The following is a 12351-nucleotide window of genomic DNA, read 5'->3' on the forward strand; positions in this document are numbered from 1 at the left end:
TCCGTGCTGATCTGCAAGGAACGATTTTAAAAAGCTTGGTGTACCTGTTCAAGGTGCATTCTGACAGTCTGAATATATTTTTGCCTGGTTGCAGAGGTTGCAGAGAATGACAGAATTGAAGTCATTCAAGTTCCTTGTCTCTGCCTACAATCACTCCCATTGTCTACTTCTCATCCACTGTTTGGAACAGACACGTGTAGCGGAGTGCTTGTGAATTGACAGCCAAATTAACTTCCATGTGGAATACAATGTTTACTAAAGGATAAACAGTAAAAATGTGCTAATTTAAGCGGAAGCTATACTATTAAACTCAACAGTAACCACAGCTGTTTAGAACTTAGACCAACAAAAGATGATTGGAGGAGGAGTACTGTGTCCCTAACATTATATAGAATTGCCAACACGTAGAGCCGTGCTTAGATCGTTTTATTAGTGTTGTTAAATTCTCTGCAGACAATGTCCCCCGTCATTGCCTGCACCAGGGCAGACTGTCCACTGCCCTCCCTTGCTATACCATAGATCTTAATCTACTGCAGCCTTTAACCAGAAAATTCAGTGGCCTCCCGTGCACAGCTTAGATCTCCGGAACATCCAACCCTTCTGACTATCATAAGAATTCTTACTGATTTCATTATTGACTGGATTAAATAGATTTAAAAGACAGAAATCTCACAGGTTTTTTCCTCCTGCTCAAGTGACAACCCCTTTCGCTATGAAGGAACCCACCAATAACACATCCCTGTCATCTCTCAAGCCCAGCTCTTGCTGGGGAAGAAGAGGGTTCTTTCTGGGGTCTCCCTCTGGCTCCCTGTGTACTCTTTTATCCCTGGCATCTGGGAAGCGGAGTCCTTGTTCCCTTTCAGCTACTAATTAGCTTTGGGATCCTGGCGAAAATGACTTTTCCTTCTGCTTCCTCATTAAAAACAAAACAAGGCCAGGCGTGGTGGCTCACTCCTGTAATCCCAGCACTTTGGGAGGCTGAGGTGGGTGGATCACCTGAGGTCAGGAGTTCGAGACTAGCCTGGCCAACATGGTGAAACTCTCTACTAAAAATACAAAAAATTAGCCAGGCATGGTGGCGGGCGTCTGTAATCCCAGCTACTCGGGAGGCTGAGGCAGGAGAATCGCTTGAACCCGGGAGGCGGAGGTCGCAGTGAACCGAGATCACGCCACTGCACTCCATCTCAAAAACAAAAACAAGCAAACAAGCAAATGGGCAAACATTTAACTGAGTGATTTCTCAGGCCCCTTCAGGGCTTGGCTAGGAGGTCAGATGGCCTTGGCTGGGCCATCCTGGGCTGCTGCAGATGGTGTCAAGGAAGTGAAAGTTCAGATCCTGAAACCGCTGCTCCCTCCCTCAGGCGTGGCCGCAGGCAGTTCCTTGTCCCCATCCCGGGGACATTGCTGACTTTTTAGCTGGTTTCCTTGTTTGGCATCCTCAGAACCATTAGGCCCTGGAGATTTCCAGATGTCTTTTTTAACAATCAGAGCTGGATTTCCTGGGCAATGCCCGCCTCATGCAAACATTCTTATTTTTTATGGCACTGCCCTCAGAGTGTGCAGGAATGAGTTCTAAAGGACAACTCTGGCTCGGCCCAAGGCCATGCTTCCATTCCATACACCCCCTCACACAATCTCACTCCAACCTGTGACGCAGGATGGGGTAGAATCATTATTCCCATTTTAGAGATGGGGAAGCTGAGATGCCAAAGCTTGGAATGAACCACCCAAGGTGATACAGCAGCCCTTTGGGGCAGAACTGGAACTAGAACACCCTCATCCCCATTTCTCCTTACTCACCCACCCCAGCTCCAGCTAGCTTAGCTCAGGCTTGGCCCAGGCCCAGTAATCCCGGTTACACAACTGATATCGGGCACGTACTCAGCTAGAGAGTATAAATAGACCCAGTGCCTTGCCACTGAGAATTTATGATTCAAAAATCACAAGGTTTTACATTGAGTAACCAGATGTCTTTAGAAATATGGCAAAGGAGTAATAGCATAGAAACAGCTCATTTCTATGACTTTGTTTATTTGTGTGTTTTAAATTTGTCACCTATGTCTGGCAACAACACATTTAGGAAGCTGTCCTAAAAAAAGCTATTCACCAGGGATGACACATTTGTGGCACATGCCCTGAGGAGTCCCTGGGGATGTCTGTGGCACGTTGCGACTCTATCACAGCTCTGCCCACTTGGCCCAGATGAGCCTCAGAATCTTCCCTAATCCAGCACTCTGCCCAGACACGTATCTGACAGGGGATTTCAGCTAGTGAGCCAAATTCGATTTGCTGTCCCTGCCACACATTTCAGGCTGCTTATTCCAGGAAATGTGAAATTCCGGTTGTTTGCCCTTTCAGGGAGCTGCAGCCTGGTAACCTTACTCTTCTCTCCATTCACACCACCCCCCCACCCCCCAAACAAGCACTAGGGGCAACGAGCTGCTGGGAAGTGCTAAGCACAGCTTAAAACAGAAGTTACACACCTGAGGTCTGTAAAACCTCGGCAGAAGTGGCCGCAGTTGACTGTGGAAATTATTTCATTGGTAAAGCACTCCTTCCTGAATCCTTCCCAGGATTCCTGGGCAGATGTTCTTTGTAAAGCCCCCTCCCCCAGCCAGAGATCCTCATGTGCCTCATCGCCTTGAGAATCGCAGCTGTCTTGAAGATCTTTCCTATTTCTGGGAGGACTGAGTCTTGAAGGTGGAGTCAAATCGTTTGGAAATGATTTATGTGGACATTTCGGCCGGGGTGAGTGGTGAGGAAGGAACCCTGAGCGCCAGCCACACCCTTTACCCTTCCTAGGACGTCCAAGTCGCATACCCATTAAGTTAGTCCGTCTTAAAGGTCAACATGGGGTAAGTCCGGGATTAGGACCTGAAAGGAGCCATGAGCCCTGTGCTGGGGCTAAGTTGCATTCCCCCAAAATTCCACGTCCACCCAGAACCTCAGAATACAGCCTCATTTGGAAACAGGATCTTTGCAGATGTAATTAAGGGGGGAGATGAGATCACACTGGATTAGGGTGAGCCCTCAATCCAATGAGAGTGTCCTCATAAGAGAGGGAAAGGGACGCACAGAGACACGGAGAAGGCCACGTGGCGACGGAGGCAGAGACCGGAGGGATGCCGCTCCAAGCCCAGGCGTGCCGAGGAAGAGGCAGGGGACGATTTTACCCTGGGACCTTCGGAAAGAGCATAGCTCTGCCAACACTTTGATGTTTGGACATCTGACCTCCAGGACTCTGACACATACATTTCTGTTATTTCAAGCCACCCAGTTTGTGGTCATCGGTTCCAGCAGCCTTCTCAAACTAATACACTTTCCAAATAATATACCTGCTCCCAAGTCTTCACTCAGGTTCTGCTCTTGGGAGAGAGGAAACCCAAACTAAGACAGTAGGTATAAATACCCTCATATTACAGGTGAGGAAACTGAGGCACGGCTTCACTCACAAAGCAGCTGTGGGACCCAAGCACCCAGCAGCTATGTTGGGGCTCAGATGAGGCTGAGTCCATTCTCTACGCTGTCTGCTGTGGCGCATCAGTGATTCTGAATGTAAACTGAAGGCCTACGGCAGCTTTGTCAGCTCAGCAGCCAAGCAAATGACCCGAGAAAAATGGGGGCAATCACAGGCTACTTGGTGCTGGAAATGGGGTCATTAAAACATAAAATTATCAGACCCTTTTGTAAGCAATGGTTGCCGTGAGAAGGCCCATGAGGCAGTAGGGGGTGGGGAACTAATCTCTTTCTTTACACCTTGGGGAAGCAGACCTTCAACAGGCTCAGTCGCCAGGTCCTTTGTCGCATACATGGTCATTGGTTGGGAAGATTCAGTTAATCAGGGCACTTTGCCTGAGAAAATCGCTTTAACAATTTTTTTTCTTTTTTATTATTATTATTATACTTTAAGTTTTAGGGTACATGTGCACAATGTGCAGGTTAGTTACATATGTACACATGTGCCATGCTGGTGTGCTGCACCCAATTAACTCGTCATTTAGCATTAGGTATATCTCCTAATGCCATCCCTCCCCCCTCCCCCCACCCCACAACAGTCCTCAGAGTGTGATGTTCCCCTTCCTGTGTCCATGTGTTCTCATTGTTCAATTCCCATCTATGAGTGAGAACATGCAGTGTTTGGTTTTTTGTCCTTGCGATAGTTTACCGAGAATGATGATTTCCAATTTCATCCATGTCCCTACAAAGGACATGAACTCATCCTTTTTTGTGGCTGCATAGTATTCCACGGTGTATATGTGCCACATTTTCTTAATCCAGTCTATCATTGTTGGACATTTGGGTTGGTTCCAAGTCTTTGCTATTGTGAATAGTGCCACAATAAACATACGTGTGCATGTGTCATTATAGCAGCATGATTTATAGTCCTTTGGGTATATACCCAGTGATGGGATGGCTGGGTCAAATGGTATTTCTAGTTCTAGATCCCTGAGGAATCGCCACACTGACTTCCACAATGGTTGAACTAGTTTACTGTCCCACCAACAGTGTAAAAGTGTTCCTGTTTCTCCATATCCTTTCCAGCACCTGTTGTTTCCTGACTTTTTAATGATTGCCATTCTAACAGGTGTGAGATGGTATCTCATTGTGCTTTTGATTTGCATTTCTCTGATGGCCAGTGATCATGAGCATTTTTTCATGTGTTTTTTTGGCTGCATAAATGTCTTCTTTTGAGAAGTGTCTGTTCATATCCTTTGCCCACTTTTTGATGGGGTTGTTTGTTTTTTTCTTGTAAATTTGTTTGAGTTCATTGTAGATTCTGGATATTAGCCCTTTGTCAGATGAGTAGGTTGCGAAAATTTTCTCCCATTTTGTAGGTTGCCTGTTCACTCTGATGGTAGTTTCTTTTGCTGTGCAGAATCTCTTTAGTTTAATTAGATCCCACTTAACAATTAATAGCTAGGAAAAAAATACGAAGGTACTTTTTCCCATTGTTTGATATATTTTTCAACATAATATTTCTTACTATTTTTTGAGAGCTTCTGAATACAACCCATATTTCATCTTCAGGGATAAAAATCCTCAAATCTTCTTGCCTTTTCCTTAATTTATAATTATTACTGAAAATAATAGAAAAGCATTAGCAACCTGGCTGGGCTCAGTGGCTCACGCCTGTAATCCCAGCACTTTGGGATGCCGAGGCAGGCGGATCATGAGGTCAAGAGATCGAGACCATTCTGGCCAACATGGTGAAACACGGTCTCTACTAAAAATACAAAAATTAGCTGGGCATGGTGGTGCACGCCTGTAGTCCCAGCTACTCGGGAAACTGAGGCAGGAGAATTGCTTGAACGTGGGAGGCAGAGGTTGAGAGAGCCAAGATTGTGCCACTGCACTCCAGCCTGGAGACAGAGCAAGACTCTGTCTCAAAAAAAAAAAAAAAGAAAAGAAAAGAAAAGAAAACCCTTAGCAACCATGTTGTATGTTTACACAGACTTTAATTACTAATCAATAGTTCTTTACTCTCTTTGGTAAAGAAAAATACCTTTCCCAGCTGGGCGCAATGGCTCATGCCTGTAATCCCAGCACTTTGGGAGGCCGAGGCGGGTGGATCACCTGAGGTCAGGAGTTTGAAACCAGCCTGGCTAACATGGTGAAACCCCATCTCTACTAAAAATACAAAATTAGCCAGGCATGGTGGCAGATGCCTGTAATCCCAGCTACTTCGGAGGCTGAGGCAGGAGAATCCCTTGAACCTGGGAGGCAGAGGTTGCAGTGAGCCGAGATCGTGCCACTGCACACCAGCCTGGGCAACAAGAGCGAAACTCCATCTCAAAAAAGAAAAAAAGGAAAAAAAAAGGAAAATACCTTTCCCAATTAACCAGTGTCCTTGTTGATGATTATTTTAATCTCCATGGCATTGTTTACTCCCCTTTGGTGGCCAAGGGAGAAGCCATTTTCAGAGGACTGATAGATTCCAGGCACAGCAATCACCTGGTCCCTGGGCTTCCCAGCTGGCAGGGCTGGCATTTGGGAAGACGAGGAATGGTGTAATCCACAGGAGCAGGCTGAGAAGGTGGCCGGGCAGAGCATCTGATCCCAGCGTCTGACACCAGTGGCCCATTCCCTCCACCTTCGCCGGGGCAAAGCCCACTTGTGCCTCGTGCATTTGCCTCTTGGTTCCTAGTCCTCTCTAAGAATCACTCTGAGGCACTGCTGAGCTGAGGAATCTCTGCACCAGATGTCATGGGATCCATTCAACCTGCAGAGGATAAAATGCAGATAGAGGAAGGTGGTCTCTGAGTTGGAAGAGAAGACACTGAGGCCTCTAGGTGCAGGTTTTAAGGAAAGGCGGTATATTAATATTTCATGCCATGCCACACAAAGGGTCTGCTGACCCAGGTGGATTGAAGTCTTGTGACTGCCTGGTAGGCTCTACTACCTATCTCATAAACAGAAGGTGCTAAACAGAGGCACAGAACCTGGCTGAATTGTTGCTACCAGCTAAAATGGGTTCTAGACCGCGGAGACCGCATCTGCCCGGCGAGCACAGAGCCTTGTCCCTTGCCACTCCGCCGCCCATCCACACCTGCTGCCAGCTCACCATGGATGATGATACTGTCGCCCTCGTCATCGACAATGGCTCTGGCATGTGCAGGGCTGGCTTCGCAGGCGACAGTGCTCTCCAGGCCGTCTTCCTCTCCATCATGGGGCACCCCAGGCACCAGGGTGTGATGGTGGGCATGGGTCAGAAGGACTCCTACGTGGGCGACAAGGGCCCAGAGCAAGAGAGGCATTCTGACCCTGAAGTACCGCATCGAGCATGGCATCGTCACCAACTGGGAGGATATGGAGGAGATTTGGCTCCACACCTTCTACAGTGAGCTGCATGTGGCTCCTGAGGAGCACCCCCTGCTGCTGACCGAGGCCTCTCTGAACCCCAAGGCCAACCACGAGAAGGTAAACCAGATCATGTTTGAGACCTTCAACACCCCAGCCATGTATGTGGCCATCCAGGCCTTGCTGTCCCTGTAAGCCTCTGGCCATACCACTGGCATCGTGATGGACTCTGGTGATGGGCTCACCCACACTGTGCCCATCTACGGGGGGGTATGCCCTCCCCCACACCATCCTGCATCTGGACCTGGCTGGCCCAGACCTGACTGACCACCTCATGAAGATCCTCACCGAGCGCGGCTACAGCTTCACCACCACGGCCAAGCGGGAAATCGTGCATGACATCGAGGAGAAGCTGTGCTATGTTGCCCTGGACTTTGAGCAGGAGATGGCCATGGTGGCCTCCAACCCCCTGCTGGAGAAGAGCTAGGAGCTGCCAGGTGGCCAAGTCATCTGCAATGAGCAGTTCCGCTGCCCTGAGGCACTCTTTCAGCCTTCCTTCCTGGGCATGGAATCCTGTGGCATCCATGAAACTACCTTCAACTCCATCATGAAGTGTGACATGGACATCTGCAAAGACCGGTACGTCAACAGAGTGCTGTCTGGCGGCACCACCGTGTACCCTGGCATCGCCGACAGGATGCAGGAGATCACCGGCCTGGCTCCAAGCACGATGAAGATCAAGATCATTGCTCCTTCTGAGCGCAAATACTCCATGTGGATTGGCAGCTCCATCCTGGCCTCGCTGTCTACCTCCCAGCAGATATGGATCAGCAAGCAGGAGTATGACGAGTCCAGCCCCTCCATCGTCCACCACAAATGCTTCTAGGCGGACTGTTACTTAGTTGCGTTACACCCTCTCTTGACAAAACCTAACCTGAGCAGAAAACAAGATGAGATTGGCATGGCTTTATTTGCTTTTTTGTTTTTTATGGTTTTTTTTTTGGCTTGACTCAGGATTTAAAAACTGGAACGGTGAAGGTGACAGCAGTTGGATGGAGCAAGCATCCCCCGAAGTTCTACAATGTGGCCGAGACTTTGATTGTACATTGTTCTTTTTTTTTTAATAATCATTCCAAATATTGTGAGATGCATTGTTACAGGAAGTCCCTTGCCCTCCTAAAAGCCACCCCGCTTCTCTTTAAGGAGAATGGCCCAGTCCCCTCCCGAGTCTACACAGGAGGTGATAGCATTGCTTCATGTAAATTATGTAATGCAAAACTTTTTTAATTTTCGCCTTAATACTTTTTAATTTTGCTTCATTTTGAATGATCAGCCTTCGTGGTGCCCCTTTTTTGTCCCCCAACTTGAGATGTATGAAGGCTTTTGGTCTCCCTAGGAGTGGGTAGAGGCAGCCAGGGTTTACCTGTACACTGACTTGAGACCAGCTGAATAAAAGTGCACACCTTAAAAATAAAATAATAAAATAAAATAAAATGGGTTCTAAGAAGTACCATTTTGTATTCTCATGACATGCACCACACTTATACTTTATTTTCATGATTCCAGAACCATATTTAGATCAACTAGAGTGATTTATGGAATATATTCAAAATAGAGGTTAACTCGTTCCCTGGGTGCTGTGTGGAAATTCAGTCACCCCAGAAGCATGGTCCATTCCTAAATCAGAAGAGACCCACGGAGCTGCCTGGGAAAGGGCCATATGCAGGGTAGGACACTGAGCAGGAGCCCAGGGGGAGGTGCCCATTATCCGGTCTGGGTCTAGGTCTGTTCTAGGTAATTAGACAGGCATGAGCGGGGCAGGAGAGGGCTCTCCCCCAACACACTAGGAATGTCAAGTGATGGCTCAGCAGTTACCACATTGCTGCTCTAAAAATGGTAATTGGGCAGCCAGGGAGAGACAATCTCTGGATGGTCCACACCTGTTAACATTAAAAGCGTTAATTGCCGAAACCCAGGATCTAACCAGGGACCTTTAGATCTTCAGTCTAACGCTCTCCCAAGGTGGGCAGGTCACAAGGTCAAGAGATCGAGACCATCCTGGCCAGCATGGTGAAAACCCGTCTCTGCTAAACATACAAAAATTAGCTGGGCATGGTGGCACGTGCCTGTAGTCCCAACTACTCAGGAGGCTGAGGCAGGAGAATCTCTTGAACCAAGAGTTGGAGGTTGCAGTGAGCCAAGATCGCGCCACCGCACTCCAGCCTGGTGACAGAGCGAGACTCCGTCTCAAAAAAAAAAAAAGTGTTAATTGAATGCAGACCCCAGGGAGAAGCAGCTTCTGGGGCATACACGTTAAGTGACAAAATGGCAAAGTATGATGCTGCGGGGGACACACGCCACCAGAGAAAGGAAAAAGCCTCAGATGGGCAGGCATGTAACTCCCTAAACACACTGCACGTGCTCATTTCCAAAGGGTAAGGAAAGCACTGCGCATGTGGAAAGCACACCCTAGGGGAAGAATCATGGGAAAGAGGCGAGCCTATGAAGTCCCAGGATCAAGGTTAAAGGGGCTGTTTTTCTCTCTTTGACCTTCAGGCGCTCACTTGGGTCTCTCCCAAGGGTTCTTTCCTTTCTTTTCTGTTCTAAAGCCTTTTTAATAAACTTCCACTCCTGCTCTGAAACTTGCCTCTGTCTCTTTTTCTGCTTTATGGCCCTCAGTTTAATGCTTTCTTCGGAGGAGGCAAGGGCTGAAGTTGCTACAGACCCATATGGACACACTGCCAGTAACTTGGGGTAACTCAGATCTCCGCCATCGCTAACAGATCCAGCCCTTCTGCAGACCAGCTCTCAGCTAACATACATCCCTGGTTAGCTCACCCCCGTGATGGGTGGGCTGTGTTCTGTGATCACCCAGGTCTTATCTATTCCTAATGTTCCCTGATCCTGTTACCCTCTGACCACTGGACAGATACCCAGTGGTTCACTTGGATGGTTCAAAACTGTTCCTAGCCCTTAAAAGCTGGTAAATTAAAAAGAAGAGAGCTTACAGATGGCCAGCTTCTTCTCCCCTAAATAGCAAGCCTGTAAAATAGTCCCTTTTCCTGGGGATAGTGAACATGGATCAGTTAGAAATAAGGGATATTCAGGTTGGGAGAGGACAGAAGCACCTACAGGGAGGCTGCTGAAGATGAGGCCCTGTGGAGTTCCCCTCCATTAATTTTTCACAAAACTGTAGAAGCAAACTAATAATCATGTTGTCTAATATATGACCATGTCACCTGCAGCTGGGAGGGGGCGGGGAGAGAAAATGACTACCCTCGACTTCCAATTATGCTATGATAACAGTTTAAATTTTATTGAGTAAATAATTATCTCTGTGGGTTTAACAAAAAACAAAACAAAACACAGCACAACACCATTAGTCATCTGTCTGAGGTAAAGCTGAAATATATATTTAACACATGCGTTTCTTATTCAATGCCCTGATTCAGAGCAAGGCGTGAGCCACTCATACCTCCAGGGGGTAAATGACTAGCTATTTTGGTAAATTAGGTTTTTGTTTTCATTTCCTGTTAGATTCTTTGTCTTCAGTTTTTAATTTATTTTGAACCAAAGGCAAGAGTGAAGGGGGGTATGTGGGTTTCTCATAATGATCTATAGGAGAATTTGACATGTGTCAGGTGTCAGTTTGGCATGTGCATGGCCCAGTTCAGGAGGAAACAGGGGTACATTAGTGTTGCTTGGAAGAAGTAGGGAGGCAGACAACAGGGCTTCGGACACACCGATTTATCCTTAAAAGCAGCAGCTAGTAAGCCCTCTTCTGATGTGCGCTGGGTCAGAAGCAAAGGCTTTGAGGACAGTATTAGGAGATAAAATCCTGAGATAAAATTGATATTTTTCCCTACTGATTCTAAGAAGTCAAATAGAAGCCTTATGTGTGTGGCTGGCATCAATTTCGCTGTCTGCTTGCCCAATGATGACAGTTTTTTCTCTCTCTTTGTTTACTTTCTTTTTAAAAAATCTTCATCCTTTTTTTGGGGGTGGACAGGGTCTCACTCTGTTGCCCAGGCTGAATGCAGTGGCACGATCATGACTCACTGCAGCCTCGACCCCCCAGGCCCAGATGATCCTCCCACCTCAGCCTCCCAACTAGCTGGGACCACAGGTGTGCACCACCGTGCCCAACTAATTTTTTATTTTTTGTAGAGAGGGGGTCTTGCTATGTTGCCAAGGCTGGTCTCAAACCCCTGAATTCAAGAGAGCCTCCCACCTTGGCCTCCCAAAATGTTGAGATTACAGGCACGAACCACTGTGCCAGGCAACAGTTCTCTCTAACTAGATAACGAAGGGATGGGGTACTTCCAGGGTGCTGGCCCCTTATATAGGCTTTCCTATCATGGAGTCTCTCTTGGCTCATGACAACATCTGGATTCTCTTGCCTGTGTGGTACAGGTTTAGGCAGCTGAAATTGCCTTGGCAAGAAACAAATGTGATTATGAGGACACCACTCCATAAAGAACCCTTTTGTCTTGGTTGGCTGCTGAGTTAGTCTAGTTCCCCATGGGAGAAGAAGGAAAAGTATGTCGATTTGAGGCTTTCTTCAGCTTTATTGGCCAAGCCATCTTGCTCTAGCTTGAATCTCCTGGGGATGTGAATTGATTGCTGAGGGTCTGCTGTGAGTGTTGGCTGCTAGGGGCTGAGAGCTGCTCCACTCAACTGTCCTGGCATAGGGGGATTATCTTGCCTGGGGGGCTACTCCTGACACATATTAACAGCCTGCTTCTGCAGGTAGCAGTTTGTGAGCAGAGGATAACCTTTGCTTGGGTACAATGACAGGGCACAAAATGCCACTCCCCTTGTGTCAAGATGGGACAACTACGAGGTGCGGTCTGTGTTCTGGAGCGCCCCATGGGACTGGGCTGGAGCCAGTCTCCATTGAGGACCAGACCCTTGCTTAACTTGCTTCCCTTGCCCTATCCTGTTCCCTCACTCTCCTTCAAAGGGCAATGCTTCCCCAGTCAATAAGGTTCGCAAGAATTCCCATCTTAGCTCTGGTTCTAGGAAACTGACCTAGGACAGTGATATAGTTTGGCTCTGTGTCCCCATCCAAATCTCATCTCAAATTATAATCCCCATGTATTGAGGGAGGGACCTGGTGGGAGGTGATTGGATCACGGAGACAGTTTCCCCCATGCTGTTCTCATGATAGTGCGTGAGTTCTCATGAGATCTGATGGTTTTATAAACGGCAGTTCCCCTGGCCTGTTCTCTCTCACCTGCCGCCATGGAAGACACTGCTGCTTCCCCTTCCACCACGATTGTAAGTTTCCTGAGTTCTCTTCAGCCATACAGAACTGTGAGTAAATTAAAACTTTCCTTTATAAATTACCCAGTCTCAGGGAAGTTCTTTATAGCATGTGAAAACAGACTAATACAAACAGGGTGCTTGTCAGAAGGCAAGATTCCTTGACTCCAACCAGAAGAGGAACTCAGTAGGCCGGAGTGAGGCTTTGGAGGCTGCAGTTTTATTAAGCACACAGGTGATTCTGATGAACATGAGCCCAGGTCCACACCTGGGGAAGCACAAGGGCCA

General features: G+C 47.6%; 1 pseudogene; it reads left to right on the forward strand.

The window, feature by feature from the left end:
* ACTBP9 (ACTB pseudogene 9) lies at positions 6479–8270 on the forward strand (annotated as a pseudogene).

This window comes from Homo sapiens, chromosome 18 (assembly GCF_000001405.40).
Source record: "Homo sapiens chromosome 18, GRCh38.p14 Primary Assembly".
Classification (NCBI taxonomy): Eukaryota; Metazoa; Chordata; class Mammalia; order Primates; family Hominidae; genus Homo; species Homo sapiens.